Raw genomic sequence first — 25,412 nt, 5'->3', positions numbered from 1 at the left:
ATATCATTGAGAACAAGGAGATTATGCATAAATATGATTTTCCCAAACCTTTGCAATGAATGAGTATTCTCTGACGTTGATGCAACTTACACCCAAGTCCTTCATTAAGGAATATAGGGGATGCAATTTGTTTTATGGGCTTTTTGCTGTTGTTATTTTCTGCCTCCTCATCCTGAAATGCTCAGCAGTGCCAAATGTGCTGCAATGTCATTGAGCAGCATGTTGTAAAACAATACACTCCATGTTTATTCAGTGAGAATTTGCACTGGGGAGCATTTAAGGCTGAGGCTTTCTAACTGAGGAATGAACAAAGACATGGCATTATCATTTATCTAACTTCACCACGTTCCAGCAAATGAAAACATGGCAGCTTCTCAGTGGCAGGGAATCCATTTTGAAGTGAAATATTGCAAGTGGTTAAATAAACAGAACTTTCTGTGTTGCATTCAGCCCAATTTTGATCATCTGACCCCTACCCCTTTTTTCGGAAACCTAAAATGATTCCCAATTTCTTTCAAGCTTGGAACTAAAATTCCATTCCCTGCTGGCCCTTGCCTAAATCCTTTCTGTTCTCACAATGTAGACAACATTCCTACTCTCTCTTGGAAAAACTACATCCCACTGCTTCAGAATAGTCATCAGGTCTTGATGCAAACATGAAGCTTTCATAGATTCAACATTCATTTATTCATTCTACATTCATTCTACAAACATTTACTGAATGCCTGCTACATGTTAGGCAATATACTCAATTATGGATCCAATAATTAGCAGGGCAGACCTTGTCCCTACCCTCATGGAGCTCATGAACTGGGGAGGAAGAAGAAAAATATTCAAATAAGCATACAAATATAAATGTAAAACTTTTTCCCAAGGAAGAGAAGACAGAGCTGAGATCCAAAGGATAAGAAGGGAGGCAGGTAACTCAGGTGAAGGGAGAAGGAAGATCCCCCTAAACACAGAGGATGGCATATGCAAAGGTCCTGTGGCATATACACAGAAAATCACAACATAAAATGTTGAAATGATAAACAAGAAGAAAAAGAGTAAAGGCTTATTATTTCACATACATTCTTACATTTTTCTCAATCCTTTGACTTATATGTTCACCTTTTTTCAAGAATCTATATCCCATCTTAGGCACTCATGCTAATTTATCATAAGCTAAATGGACATAATCCCAATAAAAAATGCCAGCAAAGTCAAAGCGAATGCAACGTCTGTGCCCATGGAGTTCATGGAAATCGTGGAACAATGTGGCAGATAGACAAGTACATCACCAGTGGGGGTATAGTAAGAATATTGCCACATAAAAGCTGTGTACAAAAGGCTGTGCAGACACAGAGGCAACAAAATAATACCTGGGGCAAAAAACACTAATCAGAGACTCATCCTAGCAGAAGTGCACCTTAAGCTGTGTGGTGTAGGGCTGGTGAAGGTGGTGGGGAGGTGAGGAAGGTAATCTTGACAGATGGAATAGTCTGTGCTATCACAAACAAAGGCATGATGACCTTCCTGGACCTTCCAGGTAGCCAAAAATTTGTATTTAAGAGTGGCAGCAGAGGAGACACAAGAGGGTGGCCAGGGCCTTAGGTAAAGAAATGCCTTAAAAGTTTCTTTTCTTAAGTAGATAAGTCTAAACAACGTAGTAAGGGTTTAATACTAACAGCTCAGTACCTATTTTTAAAAGTCATACATATAAAGGGAAAAATAATACCTACATTTCACTCTTAAATAACCACAATTATTTGGTAATGGGATGGTGGTCCTGTTGGCGCTGTGCAAATCCTCAAACCTTTGAACCAGCTCGGCCCCTGCCGCCCATGTTTCCTTTTCCACATGGATTGTCATTCTGCATATGCTTTTTAATCACAGCAATAGTCATGAACTCAACTTGGAAATAACGTAGCATCAAGAAAAGGAACGTTGCATGATCTAATTTTGAAACTGTAGACTGCCTTTAAACTAATAGTTACCAGGATGCCCAACAAATGTTAAAGAACTGCATTTTTTTCAAATGTTACAGTATCCTGTCCAACCCCCATGCAATTGCTATGGAGCCTTGGGTGCCTTGGAGTATTGGGAAGCACATGCTAAGGTAATCAGGCTTCATCCTGAAAACTCTGAGGAGCCTCTAAGATCTCTAATCAGAGGGAAGGAGTGTATGCTATGGTCAGTTGTGTGTGTGTGAATCTTTCTGGCAGGATGTGCAAAAAGTTACAAAGAAATTTTAAAAACCTTAAAGTCTCAAGGAGACCAGTGCAGTGGTTCAGCTGAGAAGTGACAGAAAATGGTGGCTGGGAGAGAGTAGAGAAGACAGTACCACAGAAGCTCTTGGGCTGTCACCCTGCTCCTGGTCTTTGCAGCGTTCCCCTGCAGACTACTCCCATAGCCACAGATAACCTCCTGAGACTGCCTGAGGGTGATCACTGACTCAAGGTGCTAGCTATGCAAGAGGGAGATCTCGAACAAGGAGGCGACAGGGGTTGGTAGACAAATACCTCAGCGTCCTTGTCCTTTGGCGGGGCAATTCTGAAGCAGCTTCCACGTGCCTTCTCAGAAGCTCCCCAGCTAAACTGTGCCCCAGTTGCCATTAGCAATCACCTGGTTGTTAACACACTCTTTATTGGTTTTGCTTCTTCCCTGTCTCACTTCCCTACTCCCTCATGGAGCTTCCTGGGAAAAATGAACTACCCAATAAATTCCTTGTAACCAAGTACTTGTCTCATTCTCAGGGTTTGCTTCAGAGAGAACAGAAACTAAGACAAAGGATATGAGAGTTCTTGTGGGGGAGGGGGTGTCTACAGGACTGCAAGAGATGACTGGCTGGAAGGAGAGGGGTGAGGCAGAGAGACCTAGAACAGCTCCTGGATTTCTGACTGCATAAGACTCATGTCAGTGACATTCACAATGGCATTAGTTACAGGAGTCCAAGCAGGTTGCCTGAGATACACTGAGACTGAGCGGACTCTGGGGCATGCAATGGAATTTTCCACCAGGTAGTTGGATATTCAGTAATGGAGATCAAGACAGAGGTCTTAGCCGAGCCATGATTTGGGAATCAGGGACTTGTAGTCACTGAAGCCCCTATACCACCAGTGTTAGGGTTTGACTGGTACTGGTAAGTAAAGATATACTGCTGTGCAAGAAGAGCAAAGGGTGAACAAAGGAGTCACAGAGGGTTTAAGCCAGAGGTGGCCACAAAGACAATTGAGAAGAAACAGCCAAGTAGGAAGGAGGAAAGAGAGGAGAGTGGTGTCCTGGAAGCTGAGAGGCAAGCATCCTAAAGGAATGGCCACAAGTGTCAAGTACTGCAGTGAGCTCAAGTGAGATAAACACAGACAGATGCAGGGAGGACGGCTTGAGGATCACACCAGGAAAGTCACAGAGAGCAGCCCTAAGAGAGTTTGGAAAAGACATGCCCTGGTGGCCTAGAGGCAGTGTGAGATGCGCTGACCTCAAGTTCTGGCTTTGCCTAGAGTCCTGGGGTGAGCTTCCATCCTTCCACATTTAAACAAGAGAGGAGCAGCCTGTGAAGTCCCAGAGGGTGGTGCTTGAAGTCCATTCAGTAGCCTGCTGACTTTGCTTAGAATTCCAAACAGGATATTGTTTAAAAAGAAAAGTCTGGCTGGGTGCGGTGGCTCATGCCTGTAATCCCAGCACTTTGGGAAGCCAAGACAGGCAGATCACCTGAGGTTGGGAATTGAAGAGCAGCCTGGCCAACAGGGTGAAACCCCGTCTCTACTAAAAATACAAAAATTAGCCAGGCCTACTGGTGCTTGTCTGTAATCCCAGCTACTTGGGAGGCTGAGGCACAAGAATCGCTTGAACCTGGGAGGTGGAGGTTGCAGTGAGCTGAGATTGTGTCACTGCATTCTAGCCTGGGCGACAGAGTGAGACTCAGTCTCAAAAAAAAAAAAATCTGTCAAAGCTCATTTATTACTAACTGTGCACTCTCTATACGCAGGGTGCTGCAGAGTAATGGAGATGAACCACACGAAGCTTCCATCCTTCAGGGTTTCGCAGCCTAGGAAGACAGTTATTATACAGTCACTATTAACATGTAAAGCAGAAAGTGGCAGGTCCCAACAGAAAGTTCGATTTATCTCCATCTCTCTTGTGCTTTCCATTTAAAAAAATACTTTTTTGTGTGTAATTTATATAACTCTTCTATAAAGCTCTTCACAGCAAGCATTCTGAGTGATAACCCTCCATGTGACACCCCCAATTACCCAACATAAAGATGACTTTTCATGCAAACTCTCTTTATCAAGTTGCGTACACTGAGGCCTACGTGCTTCACCATGCAATGGCATGGATTCCTGAATATGATTTAGAGCCTATAGAACTTTCCACTTCTATTTCATTCCTACAACAATCCTCCAGGATAAACAGGACAAGGTTTTTAAATTTTAAATTGTAATATAATTCAAATACCATAAAATTTGCCATTTAACAGTGTGCAAATCAGTGTTCTTAGTATATTCACAGTTATGCAATCATCATCACTATTTAATTCCAGATCATTTCCATCACCTCAAAAAAGATACCCTATTAGCAGTCACACCCCATTCCCTGATTCCCATCTCTTATCCCCAGCCTCTGACAACCGTTAATCTACTCTCTGTATCTACGGATTTCCTATGCAGATAAATGGAATCAGGCCTCTTGTGACTGGTTTATTTCAGTTGGCATAACATTTTCAAGATTCATCCATGTTGTACCATGTGTCAGTACTTCATTCTTTTTTATTGCAAATGGATCATAGTTTGTTTATCTATTCATCAGGTGGTGGACATTTGGATTGTTTCCACTTTAGGGCTATTGCTATTAATAATAATGCTGCTATGAACATTAGTGTATAAGTTTATATGCAGACCTATATTCTCAATTATTTGGGTAAACACCTAGAAGTGGAATTGTTTGATCATAAGATAATTCTGTGTTTAACTTTTTGAGGAAGTGCCAAGCTGTTTTCCACAACTATATCATCTTACGCATCCACTGCAGTGGTTAAGAGTTTCAAATTTTTAATATCCTCATTAACCCTTGTTATTTCCCATTGATTTGATTAAGGGAAGATCTTGTTTTCCTCATTTCACTAATAAAAAAAAATAAAAAGATGGGCTTACACAGCAATTAATTAGAAAGGCCAAAACTCAAATATTAGTTTTCAGATTTCTAGGTCAACTTTCTTTCTGTGATACCACAAAGATATTATAAAACCACATCAACATCAGAGTGTTGTAAAGGCATGGATTGCTGGCCCCTAAAAAACTCAGGTTTGGTAACTCAGGGAAAGGAAGTGATGTGGATACACAGTGCACACACACAGACACACACACACATACACATACACTCACATTTACATTCATGTATGAGCACCCTATTCACTATGTTAATGGTTTAATGATATACTCACCAAAATACCAATATACTAACAGAAAGTTTCCAAAGAGGTTAAACTTAAATTGTAGTAATAGCTTTGACACTGAGATAAGACGATTTATTAGCATTAAAGGCATATGTGTCTGTAGTTCTTTAGATTGTTTTAGGACATGATTCTAGCCTATGGTTCGTTACATCTGGACATGTCTACTCATGCCATTGCATATGAGTTATTTTAGAAAGATGCACACTATTATCTAAAGCTGAAGTATCCAGTTCCTAAAAATGCTTCTTAATTTGTCTGAAAGCACAGTGTCTTTAAATTTGCTCACAACATAGGCTGTTAGAAAAGTGCAAATCTGGATGTTCCTCAACTTATGATAAAACTACATCCCGATAAACCCATGGTAAGTTGAAAATGCATTTAATACACATAACCTATCAAGCATCATAGCTTAGCCTACTCTATCTTAAATGTGCTCAGAACACTTACATTAGACAACCGTCGAGCAAAATCATTCAACACAAAGTCTAGCTTATAATTTAGTGTGAAATATATCATGTAATTTATTGAATACTGTACTGAGAGTGAAAAACAGAATGGTTGCATGGACACTTGAAGTACAGTTTCCATTGAATGCATATAACTTTCTCACCATCATAAAACTAAAAAATCATAAGTAAGGGACTGTCTGTATTTGAAACTTGAGGGGCATCATTGAATTATTATTTAAGCCAAATTTGTCAAAATTGGAAAAGTTGCCACACAGTTATTTGAATACAACAATAGAATTGCCAGTGCCTTGCCTCATAATTAGTTCCTGAGATTTTTTTTCTAATAGAAATACCATAAATACATTTTGAGTGCCATAACAGCATCCCCCTCACTTGTCACAGAAAATAAGTAAATACATTTTCTCATTTCAAGCAATAGAAAGGTATTTCTGCAATATGTCATCATCCTTATGTTGAACCAAGATTTGTAATTTGAAAGAAATCAACCATTAACCTGAAAAGAAGACAGCTGAGATTGAATTTTGAGAAAGGATTCTCCTTCCATTTAAACCAAAGCAGTTAAATGTGTAAAATAAATGAAGGCATGAAATAAATATGGAATTATCCATTTCAAATGCTAATTCTCCATGTCTCACATTAACACTACCATGTTGAATGGTTACAACAAATCTCTGAATTATTTATGACAAGTCTATGATGTTATATTTTGGTGATAGTGCCACAGGTATATAATTTTATGGAGAGTTCTGCTGATCTTGAATTTGAAGTAACTCTTATAAGTAATAACTTACAGTAACAAATGTATGCAGGTAAACCAGTAGGCTAATTAAAAATATTGGCAAATGTGTGCCTAATTTGTATCATTTGCCTGATCCATTAAATTTTAGGTAATGCAGACAGAAATGTTTGCAGAGTGTGCCTTTACTACTGTTTAAAATATGGAAGTTTTTAATTACCCATAATTTAAAAAAATGTTGTACTAGGGTTTAGTTAGGTAAAATTCTTAATATCAAAATAAAATCAGACCCTGAGATCTTTTAGCAGAGAAAAGCTATTGGAACTCCTTTCTTTAGGAATACTATGCCTTTTGGCCAAACCATACCTTCTGGAATGATACACTTGCAGTAGTGAGAGGGAAAGAAGTGTCTGCCTATTCAACCATAAAAAACAGCAATCTGGGGTGCAGGGGGGCCTCAAACCAACTGGCACTCCCCACCTCAAAGTCTTCCATGTCTCCAGACCCAAACTAGGCAGCTGACAGCCTTCCCCTGGTATCCCTGCTGTCCAGGTACAAAAACCATCACTTATGCATGAAATTAGCAGATTTTGCTTTGGTGTTGCTATTAGATGAGTAATAATATGATCACCTTACTATGGCTAGTGTACTTTTTCTCTAATATTTATAGCACTGACAAGATTTCTTAAGTCTCATTAACCAGCAAAATAGTACATCAAGCCCTGATTTTTAGCATTTGTTGGTTTCTGCCATGTAAATAGCCCCAACATGGAAAATTTTATACTATCTATATGATGTCACTGAACATAGAATTGGAAAGGATGCAAAGAAATTCACCATTATATACTATTTCCACCATATAAATATAATAGACATAAATAAACCAAAGGGCATAGGTAATAGTAAAATATAGTAATTAGGAATTGCTGTGTATTGAGTACTTATTATCTTCATATTTAATATAACTTATTAAATTGTGAGTTTATAAAATTTAATTTTTAATAAAGCCTGTGTTTTAATAATCAGCTCACAAAATTTTCTTTCTTTTTTTTGTTTTTGAGATGGAGTCTCGCTCTGTCGCCCAGGCTGGAGTGCAGTGGCGTAATCTTGGCTCACTGCAAGCTCCATCTCCCAGATTCACGCCATTCTCCTGCCTCAGCCTCCCCAGTAGCTGGGACTACAGGCACCCGCCACTACGCCCCGCTAATTTTCTTTTTTTTTTTTGTATTTTTAGTAGAGACAGGGTTTCACCGTGTTAGCCAGGATGGTCTCGATCTCCTGACCTCGTGATTTGCCCGCCTCGGCCTCCCAAAGTGCTGGGATTACAGGCGTGAGCCACCGTGCCCGGCCAGCTCACAGAATTCTTGACATTTTAACAATCAGTTCTCATAAACCACTACAAGTTGGCCCCACTGCATATTTATTTAAGATCCACATATATTGACCTGTGTGTGTGTGTATGTGTGTGTGTTATTCCTGCAAATGAGCCAGATAACCAAGAAAAATGAGGACTGTTTCCTTCGATTCTACTGTGTGCATGTAGATCAAAATGACTCTGCTCTGACCAGTAAATACAGAATACTCAGCCTATTACCCTTTTCATCACTTGAAGCAAGGTATTTTGCCTCAGTTCTTATTTTCCTAGAGCTGTTAAATTTTAAACCATATCCAAGAGAGAATACATAACTGTCAAATACATTGGGCATTGGAGCAGGATCATGCTCAGTTTAAGAATCCCAGTTCGTGCTGTGATGCACCACCCAGACTCTGTGCAGGACAGTGCCCCAGCTTCAAGGGATGTTGCCAGAAGACAGCCCTCAGCTGTCAGCCCTCTCCAGAAATTACCCTTGACTGAGAGGAGCTACTTATTCCAAGATCACATTCGTTCCTGGGTGCAGCCTGCATTAATAACTGGTTGTCTCAGAATGTACAGGTCTAGACTCCTCACACCAACTTGGAACCATTTTGAAACAATCATCTCAGCTTTAGAGCTCCCAGTAGGGTCACCAGATGCTCCATAAACATTGCATCATCACGTGACTTCTCCCTCTGCCCAATTCTGTTTCCTTCTTCCCTTCTGCAGATATTGATTGCAAAAACATTTCCATATTAGCGTCCTGCACATTAACCTCCATCCCAGAGTGGTTCCTGAGAAAGACAACCTGAAAACTTGGCAAAGTAGCTGTGAAATAATAAAACCTGTAAGCAAATATTTTTAATTTAAAAACCAAAATGCATGTGCTATGAATTTCTAATTTTTACATTTTTAAAAATATACTACTAGATCCTGTTTCTTGGTCATTTATTAGATACCACAAATATGAACTAAATAAATGTTTTCTTACGATAGCTTAAAAATTATTAAATCTACTCCTAAACATTTAAAGAATACCAATGCTTCACAAACTCTCTCAAAAAATAGAAGAAGAGATAACACTTCTGAAGTTATTCTATAACACCAAAAACAAAGACATCACAATAAAGGCAAACTGAAGACCAGTATCTCTTATGAATATAGATGCAGAAATTCTCAAACACTTATTATATAAAAAATAATCCAACAGCATATAAAAATGATTATGAATTACATGACACAACTAAATGGGATTTATCTCAGGAATGTATGGCTGGTTTAACACTTGAAAAACAATTAATGTAATATGCCATAACAATATGAGAAGAATAAACCTAGCTTTTCATTTTCTTTTATGATTTTGACAGTTGTGAAGAGTATTAATTACCTATTTTGTTGAATGTCCCTCTTTGGAGGTCCGCCTATAGTTTCTCATGATTAGACTATGGTTATGACTGGACTGTGGCTATGGCAAGAATACCATAGCAGTGATGTAGTGTCTTTCTTGATCCATTATACCAAGAGGTTCATAATGTTGACATATCTCATTACTGATTATCTTAATCTTGATCACTTGATTATGGTGGTATCTGCTGGGTTTCTCCACTACAAAGTCAGTGTCTGTTCTTTCATATTTAATACATGCCTTGGAGAATCTAATTGCATTTTGTTGAAGGAAAAAAAATAAAGCCTGAACCTAATGGAGAATTGGTTCTATTGTGAGCAACAGAACATGTCACCTATTCCTTATTCATGCTTCTGACCACAATTTCTATGAGTCCTTGTTTCCCTAGGGTAGCCAAATAGCCCAAGGAATTTAAAGTATTTAGCATAGATTTGAGCTATTCCTTTTTTTTTTTTTTTTTTTGAGAGAAATACCCTAAATATCTATTTTTTTACATTGAAAAACATCAAATGCTTGAGAAGCTGTTTCTGGATTTTCATTGTTTTGAAGACTTTATGTAGTGGTATGTTTCACTTGTTCTGCAAGACAGCGTCCTGATTGATTCACCATACTGCCCAATAAAACATGATCTTCAGTAATACAGGCCTGGTTACATAGTTGTCTGTTTGTATGGATGTATGTTAACTGAGGGTTATATTATTACTATTTCATAGAATTGCCACTTGCTGGATCTCTACTCAGTTCTATCACCTTCTTAGCTTTTTAAAGATTCAGAAATCACAAAAATAAGAAAAAAATGCAATGGTAATGAGATAATTGCCCAAGAATGTAATAATAATGAATGTCACAGCATCTAGAAATGATGTGAAACCATCTATTAACAATAATGAAAACTGCTATCAGTAGAATGTAAGCTCCACAAGGGCAGCTATATCTCAAGTACTTTGACCAGTGATTGAAACATAATAGTTGCTTAAAACATATCTGTCAGGTAAATTATTTTTAATAAGCTATGTAATCTACTGAGAACTTTACAAATATTCCTTCTTTATAGCCTCACAATAATCCTAGGAAGTACATACTGTTATAATCTATCATTCTCTTTTATATATTTAAACATTTAAGTTTGCTTTGTTACGGAAAATTTCAAACATACACAAACAGAGAGAATAGTATAATGAATGCCTGCATACTCACTGCATTAATCAGCTCTGGATGCCATACAAAATACCATAGGCCAGGAGGCTTAAACAACAGGAATTTATTATTTCTCACAGTTCTGGAGGTTGGAAAGAACAAGAACAAGGTTCTGGACAATTCTGTTCCCCTGTGAGGGCTCTCTTCCTGTCTTTCAGAAGGCTGCCTTCTAGCTGTATCCTTGAGAAGCCAAGAGTCAGGGGAAGCAAGGCCTCTGGTGTCTCTTATTATCACAGCAGTAATTCCATCTTCAGGGCCCCATCCTTATCAACTCATTTAAGTCTAATCACCTCCCAAAGGTCCCATCTCTATATACCATCACATTGGGGGTTAGAGATTTAATGTATGAATTTTGATGGGACACAATTCAGTCCATACATAGAACCTGCCCATCACCCAGTTAAAATGATTAGTTACTGATATATGTTATCCCATTTTCCTTTTTCTTCTTCTTCTTTTCTTTTTAGACTGGGTATCTGGGTCTCACTCTGTCACTGAGGCTGTAGTGCAGTGGTGCGATCATAACTAACTCGTGGGCTCAAATGATCCTTCTGTCTCAGCCTCCTGAGTAGCTGGGACTCTAGGTGTGCACCACCACACCTAGCTGTCATCCCATCTTATAAAAAGTGTAATATGCTTGCTGTATTATTTGAGAATATTCAATTCTTCTATAGAAGAAAATAAAAACAAATGGGATATATAACTCGTGTTAAGTGTTGATAATAACTAAGCGAGCAGATTTTGAGATATAGGCAGGATTCATAGAATTGTGTTAAATGCAGTACTAAGTAACCTCTAAGACATGCTATATGATAAAAAGGATGGAACAAACAAGACTGTCATTTCAAAATGGAAAAGAATGGTAAGAACAGGTCAGAAGCATGAATCATGTCACCTCTAGAGTGACAGCAATGTTATCCTCAAATTATCCTCCCATTGGTGATACTCATTATAGTCTCATTTGGCCTTACATCTTCTCTGACAGAAATGGAGGTAAACCCCCCTGCTGTTCACCAATGAACTGATGAGATACCGGCCAGGCCCACTTGCCCCTGTCTTTCTGATAGAGCAAGTGTGTGTAGTGGGCCCCAGGCACTCACCATCTGCCATGCTCCCTTGTTCAAACCTCAACTATGGTCCTCATAACCACATCACCATTGAGAGGGTAGAGATGGTAAAGAGAGCATTCAAACACAGCATAACCAGAAAATGAGGTTCTTCCACACATTTGTCACCTAGTCTAAGTGTGTTAACCTATTTCTTTCTTTCTCCTGGCTTCTTTCTCCTTGAGTCAATGTGAGTCATGCCTCTTAATTTGGTCTATAAGCTTTTCTGTTGTGCATCCTCCGGGATAGCTTACCTGCTAGTATACTGGGAGCAGGGAAATTTTCAGAACATGGGCTCAGAAGAGATGGAGAGACTGCACTAAAGTTACTCGTATGGGCTGAAATCTAGGTGTTTAATATACTGCTGAACTTAATTCATAATTATAAATTCAAACTATACCACTTTGATAAGACATCCAGGAAAGCAAATATTTCACTTTGCACAGTTTTGAAGGGTATGTGTTTGTGTGTGTATAAAATAAACAAACAAAAATAGCTAAAGTGCAGCTTGAACCCAATCTGTGACATGTTTTCCATTAAAAAAAATCCTCTTTGCAACTCCATTGAATTGTACATAAACAAGTCAAGAAAGCTTTCTTTCCACTGACAGATTTGTTTTTATTTTAAATTTTTTATTGTTTTTACTTGTTCTTTCTCCTTTGGTTTCTGAGTTCAACACCTTAAGAATAGCTTAGATTCCATACATTGCAATTGCTCTCCAAAAAAAAAAAAAAAAATCTGAACATTTGCAAGAAAAAATGTTTGGTTTAAAGCCATTGCCTTTGCTCTATACTATTAACCCTCTAGATATATGCCAAAATTGCCCAATTGTTCAAACCTAATGTCAGGCTTGGGACTCTGTGGTCCGTGTCTTCAATTGACTATTTCCTCATGATACAGTGATCTAATAACTGCCGCTCAGGTCAGGGAAAAATAAAGCACTCAAGATGAAAGCTTGCATTGCAAATCTCTTTACTGTTTCTATACAAATTTCACTGTAATATACTCTCTTTGACAGTGTGCTAGGCCAGTATTTCCTCTGGAAGACACTGTTGTAGAAACCAATAATGATTTTCCTGAGAATGTTCCCTAGCCTGATAAAAGAACAGAAAATAATTATGTTGACAAATCCAGCCAAATTGAGATGTTTTATACTTTCATTTTAAACATAGTTTTCTTGGTCTTGCTAGTAGACTTACATCTGCAGAATATACAAGTGACTAAAAATAATTCTTTCAAATTGTAGATGAAATAAAGCAAAAAGTTTCAGACACTCTTACAAAAAGAATTGATCACGGTCCTAAAGTAAGATTTTTGAAGGAAATATATGACAATATATTTCCCAAATCATTGAAAGAACACATAATTTGAAAGAAACTTTATATTAGAATAAAATCAAAGGTAGACTCCTGCTTAAATTGCTCACCTCTAATATGTGTCTTCTGATTGATGGACAACTTTACATGCATTCAACCTTGGGTGGCCAACTCTTCCGTAATTTGCATGATGAATCAAAGGTTAGGATTATGAGATCTTGAAAAAACTTTAACTAAGGTGACACAACACGTGATATTGTTTTTCTATTAGCTAAGCATTACATTCACTTTCATAAGACCATGTATTCTATAGGATATAAGGCCAGTCACATCAATTACCATTTTTATGACATCTATATCACACTATGCTTAAAGAAGCAGATAATTTGGATGCCTAACTTTAAGAATAAAAATCTTTGAGCAACCTGTGTTTAGCATATTCAATGTAGCTTTGCTCTATTAGAAACTCTGTTTAACTTAAACCAATGCTCTCAATTCTATCAGGCTCAGCAAACCCTTTTATAACAAATATTTTGTAAAGTCCCCTTGCTATGCAGAAATGACATTTATCAATATTAACACTCATCTGCACACATGAAACAGGCATCAGTGCCCCACCCATATCTGCCCAGTTCTCATCATTCTAGCACATGCCCATCCACAGCATCTTCTAGCAAATACCCTTGCTGTCACTCTCTGCCTGAGCTTTTTCCTTCTGCCTGCCCAAGCGGGCAGATAAGAAATGCTGGGAAGTTAATGACCCAGGAGCAGTCCTCAGCCAGCTGATGAAGGGGGAAAGATAAAAAAAAAAAATAGTCCAGCTTTTCTCCTCCCTCAGATGGGACCACTTCTAGGCATGTTCTACATGGTTGCTGAGAGCTCCCCAGCAAGACAGAGCCCCACTTGTCCACACTGCCAACTTATAACACTCCCACTCCTCCTGGCTGCTTTTTCTTCCCTTCCTCACATCCCCACTCCTCTGCGCTGTTCCCTGTCATCACCTCCTATAGAAAGCACGTGCACACAACACCTTGGCTCAGGGTCTGTTCCCAAGGGAAGCCAAATGAAAACAACACATCAATTTAAAAAAAATCAATAGAGTGCCATAAGTGTGATATGAAAATGATTTAAAATGAAAGTATTTATAGTAAAATTCTATTTTCAACATGTAAAGACAAGGGCATGAATACACTAGAACACGCAATGAAGAAGGAAGATGTTTGCTTCACTACGTAGAATCACTACAAAAAAAATTCTCTAAATGTGGACTCAACCAGGTGTGAAAAACTCTCCTGCTGCTTGGGCATGGCCATCTGTAGCATAATTTTCTCAGGCACTCTTGGTAAAGTTCTAAGCAAACTAAGTACAAGCTTCCTTTAATTTTCATGATAGTCCAGGATACAGTGAAAAAGAGAGAGAGGCTTTGTTTTGATGTATCTTGGTGTTTATAAACAGGTTTTCACTTATATGACTGTCTGGCAAAACGTTAAAACATTGTGTGGGAGGAGGGACAGTTTTCCCATGTGGGCTTGGCCAGACCACATGTCACAACATCCCTGTCCCTGCCCACAAAATGCTTGTGGCACTCCCTAGTTGTTGTCACTGCCCAAAACCACCCTCACAAAATGGTCCCTAGAGGGCAGTGCTACACCCACTGAGAACCACTGGTTTAGACAAAAAAAGGCACATAATAATGGAGGAAAGAAAAAGGAACTTCACAGTGGCTTAGGCCACTAGATTTAGACTACCTCAGTTTAAATCCCACCTCAACTTTTTGTTCAAGGTAAGACCTTAATTCACTTGAGCTAAGACCAGTAGTGTTACAGGTCCAACCTACAGATGGCAGGTTAGTGTAATAGCCCACAGAATGCATGGAGTTACGGTCGTCAACATAATGCTTAGCTAGTGGAGAAACAGAATCACGATATGCATCACCTTGGTTTTGGCTCATATCCTTGGATGAGGAATTGAGCCACAGGGAAGGCAGTTTCCTTCTGGTGCATATTCCTCATCTCTAAGATGGAAGAAATCACATTTTCTAACTCAGGATTGTTTTGAGAATTAATGACTAAAACACAGTGCCTGGCACCAAGTGGGAGTTCAGAAACATTTGCTATTCTTATTACTATATTTCATGGCTCAATGATTGATCTCATTCACCCCTCTAACTCAAATCATCTCTCTGGTGTGGCCACCAGAAGACACAAATTGTGCAGGATCTGTCAATGTGGGTTTGGTTGTATAACTATCTGTTTCCAAGGCACAGCCTGTGAATTTACTATCATTCCATGCCCGCCCTCCTCCTCGACTCTGCTGCCTGTCCTGTCACTTGTCACTCCCAGTAACAATAACCTGTGTACCTCTGTGCCCTCTGAGGAGATCTTACGAAACGTGAATGTAGGGGAAAAGAAGAAAGGAAAAGTCTTGAGTTAGCTTTTTCCCACACTGGCTAAATCAAAGTAACAGTGGCAGCAAGTTAGAGAATTTGAAAAATAAATGAGATGATGTATAGGAATACACTGCTGTAAACTGTAGAGTGATGCACAAATGCAAAAGTGCCTTTGTTCTTGTTACTTATTAATAGTATTGTTAGTCACACAGCTGTTAGAAACCCAACCAGGGAAGACATAGAGACTTGGTATTACCCTTTATAAATGAGAAAATGAGACAGGTGAGAACCAAGACTAGATATTGCCTAAAAGGAAACTGGAAAAGATCAAATTGACAGCCCTGTAGAAGAGGGTTCTTGGAGATGAAGAGTTGTCTGGGAAATGGTGACATCAAGTTAGGCAGAGGAGCAGAGGTACCAAATGAAAGGGTCAGCTTTTTAAGGCTGCAGACGTGTTCTTGAATAGAGAACTGCATTGATTGATGTGGCCTGTAATGGAAACTCAGATAATGAAATAAAACCAACATTTAAGAATTTCAGGCTGAGAACTCATTGCCATGGCAACCCTCTCAGAAGGGAACTTGTATAAGAAAATAAGATTCACTTGACTACGCCTTAAAATGAAAACCTACACTACAGTGGAACAACTAAATGCAGAATTCCAAAATTGCTTGATTGCCACAATGCCTAGAGGTAGTACTGAATTTGCAGGCCCATCATCTTTCCCATTGGAAGCTCTTGCTTCTCAAGATCTATGACTCAAGGAAGGAACATCAGTTAGCTCTGAGGGATCCCTATTGAAGTTGGGTGGTTCCTACTAACAAAAATTTACAATGTTTTTTCATTCAAAAAAATCATCTAGCATGATGCTTGTGGAAATCACAGGTAGCATACACCACTTAAACAAACATACAAGTTTTAGTCTGCCCATAATCACATAAAATCACTAAATTCCTATGTCAATTAGTATTTATTTTCATGGGAAAATAATTTTTAACCTAAGTAAAATCTGGCTTATATGCAGATTATGTTTTTTTCAAAATAAAACATCTACTCTATTACACGTTGTCATTCAAAGAATGTCAGACAGGGTGCATTGTATTTCATCAGTGAAAATAGTTTTCTCAAATACCTAATATGATTGACAAATATAAATCTATGCCTTTTAACTGGTGCTAGAAGAAGAAATTGCTGTGATACTTTTTGTATGACATGGATTAGTTTTTTAAAAATGAACATGATGTTAAAAGAAGGGAAACAGAAGTCAGGATAAACACATAAAAATCATTACAAAATATTTCTGTGCTCACAAACAAAAAGAATAAAGACAGCATGATATATAAGAAAATATCTATGTATCCTCTCCATCAGTGCGTGGTGATATTGGATACAAAATTAGGCATTTTCATTTTCCAGCCCTGGCTCAATAGAAATTTTTCTTTCTTGTCTTCACCCCTACGCTCACCCCGAGATTTCACCAAGATTTTCACCAATATACACGATTTCTGTTAGTATGTTTTAGATATATATAGCCAAGGATATCATGTATATGTGTAGTTTTCATTGTTTCAGGATATACTGTTGTTCTAGAAATCAACATAATTTAGATGCTTGATTTCACTGGTCTGACTATGCATTCCTCAGGTCATATGCATTAGACTTCTGGGATTCAACCTGGGTCTTTTTTCTTTTTTGACAGCTATATCTTTGTCTTTCCCAAGGTTTTACAGAGAAAATCTGTAGGCTCCCTGGTCTTCTTTTAAAGTTTTCTTTTATTCCCACTCCAATTTCCAGTTTGTACTGCTAATTATCCTCTTCATGGTGCCTTAAATTTTGCCTATCTTGCAATCAACAATCTCAAGGTTGTCAAGAATATATATATATAGGCCGGGCGCGGTGGCTCACGCTTGTAATCCCAGCACTTTGGGAGGCCGAGGCGGGCGGATCACGAGGTCAGGAGATCGAGACCATCCTGGCTAACACGGTGAAACCCCGTCTCTACTAAAAATACAAAAAAATTAGCCGGGCGTGGTAGCGGGCGCCTGTAGTCCCAGCTACTCGGGAGGCTGAGGCAGGAGAATGGCGTGAACCTGGGAGGCGGAGCTTGCAGTGAGCCGAGATTGCGCCACTGCACTCCCACCTGGGCCACAGAGCGAGACTCCGTCTCAAAAAAAAAAAAAAAAAAAAAAAAAAAAAAAAAAAAAGAATATATATATATATATATATATATATAAATAAATATATATAAAAATAAATTTTTTGGATCCAAGGGTAACTCATGGTTAAATAAAAATAACTGACTTTAATATTTGGAATAAGGAATAATATTTGGAAGAAATAAACTTGCACAGACTAGGTCTAGGAGGCATGAAAGATTGGTCATATTTTTTCAATTGAAACGATTTACGGTAAGATTAGAAGGAGAATCAGGATTAAAATCTTACATTTAAATATTTCCTGATATTAAGCACTAAATCATCATTCATAAAAGAAATGCCATCGTAAAATGAGCCATTTGATTTGTTGATTAATTTATCTTTTTCCTTTACCACCTAAAGCAAATGTGGATAGGTATGAAAAAACAGCTGTTACAAACAATGCATGGAGAACAGAAATGTAATGAATTTTTTCCCCTAAGTTAATAAAATATATAGTATTTTTTCATGGTAAAAATTTTTATCCACAACACATCTTACGCCCAAATCAGTATCTTATTTCTAAATAATTATGTATGACTATAACATTTCCCTCTCTACTATTCAAGAATGATCTCCTCTTAGCAAAACTGAGAGGTAGGTGAAATTTATTTATACCCTACTCTTTTTTCTGTTTTTCTCCATCTCCTTTCAGACCTTTCTCCAATTCTCCTCCCCCAGGCTAAGGTGCTCAGTACTTTTATCATACTCTAATTTATCCTGTCAACATGAAAAGTAATTTGATAAATTTCTTCATATTAATGTATTAGAAAATTAATTATCTACTGATCTTATGAGTATCTGCATTTTAAAGGAAATTTGCAGAGAAAGAACAATGCCTTAACATCCTAAATTACTCATTAATTATGGAATTTCATGCATCTCTGGGAAGATATTTAAAAGTGATAAGAGAACTACAGAGTATTCTCAAATCACACAGTGGACATGATGATCTTGTCCATTTATTTGTCTAGGTGGTCATAAGATGGAGTCACATTTTGTTAGAAAACAACCACTAGATCCTCTCTTTGTCACGGAAGTTACCTGATAACGTCAGGGTACACAGTAGGTCTTATTCATATTTATTAAATAAATTATCATACTACTTGTCTTACATCCATTAAAAATATTTGAAGAATCTATTCTTTTGGTAAAATAAGAATAAGAATATATATGTTGGATCCTGTGCTGTGATCCTAAAGCCTTTGGTTTAACCTTAGCAGAAAAGTGGTGCCTATCAAATATTTAATTTATTCCTGGACATTTCCCTGTTGTTTAAAAACATCAAGAAATTACATGGTAAATGTCTAGAGTTCTGGTGTTCAGAATAGATATCAAAGAAATAAGTGATATTTCCTTAAATTGCCAAATCATGAGGTGTGAAAACATCTTATATTTGAAGTAACATTGTCAAATACTTTTCAGAGAATTCCATTCCTCCAATTATCTTATACACATTATCCCGACTGATCCCTATAACAACAGCCACATGAGTTGGACAGGTCTGCAATAACAGTAGTAATTTACTGATTCTTTATAAGTGGAAACCAAAGTTACAAAATGTTGACATTACTTGTCCACAGTCACACAGTAATAAGTGGCAAAGCAAACACTAAGCCACTCTGATAAAAGGATTTATGAGAAATTCTTTTTGACATGTATATAAATGAGTTCAAGTTAAGTTTATTTTTCATCCTAATAACCAGGCTTTTTATATCAACCATGTCTACCATCTATTGTGATAAGTTGACAAAATACAAGCCTATACTATAAAACATGTATCCAGTCATAATCATGTTTCTGAAAGTTTTCTATTTCCCTCTACATAATCAGAATGTGATGAGATTAGCATTATTATTTATTTAATGGTGATCAAGAACATGACACACCATATAAAGAAGAGAGCCCCATTTACTCCAAAAAAAGGAAGAAAGGAAGAAAGGAAGGAAGGGAAGGAGGGAGAAAGAAAAGAAAAATATTTTTCTTTTTTATGTGTAAAAGAGACAAGACATTTGATGGCAACTGTAGTCTACCATGCAAAACATGATGATCAATTTCGTTGGACATTTCTTCCCACATTTTGTGTATTTTCTATCTCCATTTTTATTTACTAATATTGGGATGAATTCAGTTCAGCCTTACCTGCTAATTTCATTCAAGTAATATGTAATTGGCCCTTCAAAATAATCATCAAAGATGTTAAGGTAGATCTAATTCCTATCAAAGAATGACTAGAGTATTACAGGAGCATTACTTCAGCCCATCTGCATGCCATCTGTTAAAAAGTTAACTTAGCCCATAATTCTTCCATTGCTTACCTAATGGTAGCAAATAGAGTAACACGATTGTTTTAAGATAATTACAGTTAGAGATTCCTTTCTCTATTAAAAGGTTGAATGTTATTTTTATACTGTTTCTAACAAACTTCTTACTTCTTACTTTTTCTTGGCTTTTAAAAACAAGTCATTAGAGATGCCAGTGATTCCACTAGCAAATTCTCTTCAGGCCTCAAAATCCATATTTTCCAAGTTGGAAACTTCTCTACATATCCATTTTCCAAGCACTTCAGTCTTTTGCTTTTTTAAATCAATAAGCCATATTGACAAAATTTTAATTATTCCCTAAATGTGCATACCTGTTTTGATTTTTCTTATTTTCCTATAGAGAACAAAATTAACCAACTGGTCTTGTGGTATACTTTGCTCCATTCTCTTTGAACTTCAGCTTTCACCTCTAAGAGAGAATAGGATCTTATGTATTGAGCCATTTGCGAACAAAATTTTAGAAAATCAAAGAGAGAAATAAAATATCCAGCTCTGTTAATAATTATCCAAAGATTAAAAAGGGCTATATAATTAGGTCATGAAAAGTTTCCTTATTTCAAGCAGAATCACCAATGTTGCATTGAAAAATGCACTTCATAATTACAATCATGCACAAAAAGCATAACAACCATCCAGGGTTACCTAAATGTATCTGCTTCTCAAAATTTCTTCATGCAAATAATAAAACCACTACCTCTGTGAACTATCAAGCAATGCTGATCTATTCAGTCTGCTATGAAATCAAGCATTTAACTATTTTTTCTGCCCCACAATTTCAGCAAGGCTATAATCTATATGGGGGAGGGGGAACAACCAAGGGATTCCAGCCAAATTAACTTATTATTAGATATTTACAGTGTGTTTTTCTATAGTTTGATTTTCTTGGTGTAATTGAGATGTAATAAAGGTAGAACATGTTGCAAAAGAAAAGCAGGTGAGTAAATACCTCCAAATCCAGCTAGAAGAGAATTCCTTTCATCTCAGCCTACTGGTAAGGAAATAGATTAGATCCACATTTTCTGAACTCCCTTTGTCTACTGATAAAACTTAGAAGAGCTGTGGTATACCCAGCTACCACCTACAGAATATTAGTTTAATAAGAGTAAAATAAATCTAAAAGAATAACAACATTCAGGTTAAAATACATACGCAGAGTAATTTCCTGCAGATAAATCATGTCTGACACTAGCATGAGAATGCATGCACACATTCATGCATGTACATAGAGATTAAACATGGCTCCAGAATGCACAAGCATACAACCAATATATATTAAATGTGCGCTATCATAACAAACTCAGCACTTGCTATTTTCCTTCTTTAAATCTGCTGGCCACTACCATAATATTTACTTTCTCCAAAAGAAAGTAAGTGGCAAAATAAAGAGGAAAAAGTAGATAAGATAAATCCAGTTCTGAGGTTTTATAGTTTTAAATTCTGAAACATCATGAAAAATTTAGCAAATATTTATAGCACATCAAAGATTAGAGTCATGATAACCAAATCGGCTACTAAGATCCTTAAACTTAGTTCTCAAAAGTTTGGAAATGGTTTCCTACCTCTCTTTAGACAAGACAGATTACTAAAGCATAAAGGTTGAAAAAGAGTGAGAAATAAAAAACATAAAATTACTTACAACTGATCGGATGTTATTTTCTTTCACGAGCTTCAGAGATGATTTATAGCAATTTGCAAGGTCTTCCTTGTGGGAACCATTAATATGGCCCCTGGCTATTGGCCCTACAGTATGGATGACATCTGTAAATACAAAAGGAAGGAAAAAGAGGATAAGCGAGGTATTTTTCACTTTTTTTACATAATTAATACTTTATTTATTTTAGGTATTTGTGTTAGAGCCTGGAGACAAGCAAGCTAAGCAATACATTGGCGACGCAAATATTTCTCTGGTAGAAGATCTTAAGTAGCACAACCTCCTAAAGTAGGCAATTTCCCAGGAAAATGATAATTGTGAAAAGGAATCCCCAACAAGTGAATTGTTTCATAGTTTTTGGTCAGATTCAAGTGACACAGATTATAGTATAAGACGTGCATAATTGGCTCCCTGGAAAAAGACAAATCCTTGGCGGGAAATAAACTGGGGAAATAAACTGAGGAGTAATTGCCTGCAAAAGGAACATCTGGATTGGCACGGGAAGAGCCAGTGCTAGCCTAGCTTACTTCTAAGACAACCTTCAGGCATTGTACACAATAAAGAAGAGCAAGTTTCTGAAAAAAAATACCAAGAGAATTTTTAATAATCATTAATAACCTTGAGAAGAATAATTGCAAAACATTCCTGCCAATTTTGAAGTATAGCCTACCAATCCTCACCTACATAAGGTATGCTAATAGTTCATACCTATTTTAATAGGTTAATAGTTAATTATCTATTTTATTGTATTATTAAAACATTCAAACATTTTAATGCAATCTATACTGTTCAACTCCTATTTATGTTGAAAAATACAAAACTTGATATTTTTTATACACAACAAGCCATTGTGCTATTCTTTTAATCTCTACACACACGTAAACTTTTAATTTTAGGAATGTAGTGAAAGGGGACTGTCCTCATTTTAAGAAAGAGCAGAAGAAAAACCCCACGTTTTAATCAAATTTACTTGAAAATGCCTTGTAAGTCTTGCTTCCCAGTCTTATCGGTGAACTGAATTATTAGTCCCTTTCATTGGTGTAAATCATAACAACTAATCAACTTTCATCACAAAGACAAATTCAGTCTAATGTAATTGGAGTATTATAACGAAATTATTTGTGTTGACTAATCGTTACCACTCAATTCCAACAAGAATGACAGAAGAATAAGAGTATACAAAAATAAGAATATGGTACAGTTTAAAAAATGCATATGGCATTTCAATAGCAGCAAATAAGTCACTAAAAGAAAAATCTCGCCAGGTGCAGTGGACCACGCCTGTAATCCCAGCACTTTGGGAGGCTGAGGTGGGCGGATCATGAGGTTAGGAAATCGAGACCATCCTGGCCAACATGATGAAATCCCATCTCTACTAAAAATACAAAAATTAGCCAGGCGTGGTGGTGTGTGCCTGTAGTCCCAGCTACTCGGGAGACTGAGGCAGGAGAATCGCTTGAACCAGGGAGTCGGAGCTTGCAGTGAGCCGAGATTGCACCGCTGCACCTCACAACCTAGTGACGGAGTGAGACTCCATCTCAAAAAAAAAAAAAAAAAAAGAAAGAAGGAAAAAAGAAAAGAAAAATCTCTGTTGGTTGCCCACTAAATGTTGATACTATTTGATGTTTGAGAAAAGACCTAAAGCATTGGTTTCCATGATTAATTCTGAAACAGTATTTAAACCCTTGTCAGCCGATATTAAGAGGGGCTCATCTCATGTGATCAAAGGAGGCATACAAAACTTCACTAATAAGTTCACGCAGATATTGTTTCACAGGTAAACTTACTTTTAAAGTGAGAACCACTACAATATAGAAGTGAAGGATAAATGGGCTTGAGGTGTACTCAGGAAAAAAAATAGCACACAGTGATATCATTTTTTTGTAATAAAAGTAACAAGCAAGAGTTGCATAAATTCAAGCAATGCAAGTCCTGTACCATAGTAAATATTTATATGAATATTGTACTTTAGTTTCTTTAATAAATGTTAGAATCCATAAAGGAAGGAGATGGTGCTTAGCCTTACTTTATTTCCCCTCTGGTGGCTACTTGTTATTTATACCCAACTATGATATTCTAAGTTTTCTGATGGATACAAATGACAGAAAAATTGAACCAGAATAACACACAATTCTATAAAGCAGCATTTCCCCAAATGGGTTCGGTATGATATGGGTTTAAAGGTCAATTAAATTTGAAAAAAAAAAAAAAAAAAAAAAAAAACAGGTGAAATTCTATCACACCAGTTACCTTACTGCAAGACTTCAGTGGGCATTTAAAATGCCGTAAGGAGTTGTGCGTCTCCAGGAGGAGAATATAAAATGCTCTGTTTCCTAAATACAGTTGACGATTGAAACCTGTGCTTTGAAGAACACCTTATAGGACTAGATTTCCACAATTTCACCTTTGGGAAATGTTGTTTCAGGGCCATTTTGGCAATCTTGTTCCCATTGTTGAAGACAAAGTCTATGCTTTTTAGCCCCTTCCCCACTGCTTCTAAACATCAAACACTTAATACATGAAAGAACAACGGGACATGACCATGGTTCTCTTATTTTGTGGATGGAGAAGATCAAGAATAAGTGCCTCTTATCTGGAGTAATAAAAAACATTGAGCAAAGTAAAGAAGAGGCTTAGAGATATTAACGGGGGCGAGGGAGGAAGGGAAAGAGGGAGGGAGAAGGGAGGGAGGGATAAGGGAGAGAAAGAAAAAGAGAAAGAGAGAAAAGCCCATAAGTGTAGGAAATAGTGACATCATAAACTTTTCCTTTGCTTTCCTTTAGTCATCATCGTCTATAAAACTTAAATGAAATTTATGAAAAATTATTCCTTGCATTTCTTTAGTTCTCCATTTCATTTAAAGGACTGAGGATAAACAGCCAATAAATGAGCCTCCTCAGCATTAAAATATTGATCTTTGTATTTATGCTCTATATTAAATTTATAGCATCCAAGATCGAATGTTATTATCGACCAACATGATGACCTCTCAGATCCACAAAGCTGGAGGTGAATCAATATGAGGCTAGACAGGAAATCTCCTTCATTATTTTAATTGTCCATAGTACTTATGAGTAACTACTCCACACTGAGTTTCTCATTTTCTCAGTGTGGAGTAGTTAAATTCAGTCAGGAGGCCTGTCTTTGAATTCCAGCTCCAGCCCCTTAGTCATCAAGTGCCTTAGATAAACCCATCATTTTCAGTGGTGCTTGCCTTTTTCCTTACCTATAAAATAAATCTCCTGCTTAGATTATCTCTGTGGTCTCTTCTGTGTTGTGTAGCATTATTAATATCTAACCTTATAATGGAGAGGGATGGAAAATAGAATATCTGGGCAGGTAAAAGTGATCTGAGACATGGTTAAGCAGCTCATAGGCTTTTGACTATAAGAATTCTTTTTAATATCAAAATATGACTAATTTTTCACAATAGTTTCAAAATCCATTGAGAACATGTTAGAGACAAACAGCTATTATAATTTTAATGATGATTTGTATTGATTTATGTTTTATTAAACACTGTAGCATCTTCATAGTGGACATATATATGTAATATACATGGATGCAAAGTCTATGGACAATGCTTTATCTTGCACATGGGTTTTGAATCCCTTGGTATAAATAAGATAATGTAAATAGAAGTATTAAATTCAAAGTCTGATACATAGGAAGGCTCAAGAAATGGTAAATGTCATCATCAACAGCAGCAGTGTACAAGGAGTCCTCAGCACACAGGCAGGAATGACAGAAAGTTACCATCTCTTTACTCATGTGGAAAGAACACCAATCCTAAGATCTGACTACAGGTTGTAAGTCCCAGATCTGTCACTAATCA

At 37.1% G+C, this 25,412-nt stretch overlaps 1 protein-coding gene across 5 annotated transcripts in view; it reads right to left on the bottom strand.

The window, feature by feature from the left end:
• MACROD2 (mono-ADP ribosylhydrolase 2) overlaps nucleotides 1-25,412 on the bottom strand; it is a 2,057,682-nt gene that overhangs the window by 801,574 nt on the left and 1,230,696 nt on the right. For all 5 annotated transcript variants that reach the window (NM_001351661.2, NM_001351663.2, NM_080676.6 and 2 more), the window contains one exon: nucleotides 21,563-21,684. In NM_001351661.2, coding sequence (NP_001338590.1) covers nucleotides 21,563-21,684 — 122 coding nt within the window. The remainder of the gene's footprint in view (nucleotides 1-21,562; nucleotides 21,685-25,412) is intronic.

Source organism: Homo sapiens, chromosome 20, assembly GCF_000001405.40.
Source record: "Homo sapiens chromosome 20, GRCh38.p14 Primary Assembly".
Lineage (NCBI taxonomy): Eukaryota > Metazoa > Chordata > Mammalia > Primates > Hominidae > Homo > Homo sapiens.
This window is presented reverse-complemented; position numbering and strand designations above follow the sequence as displayed.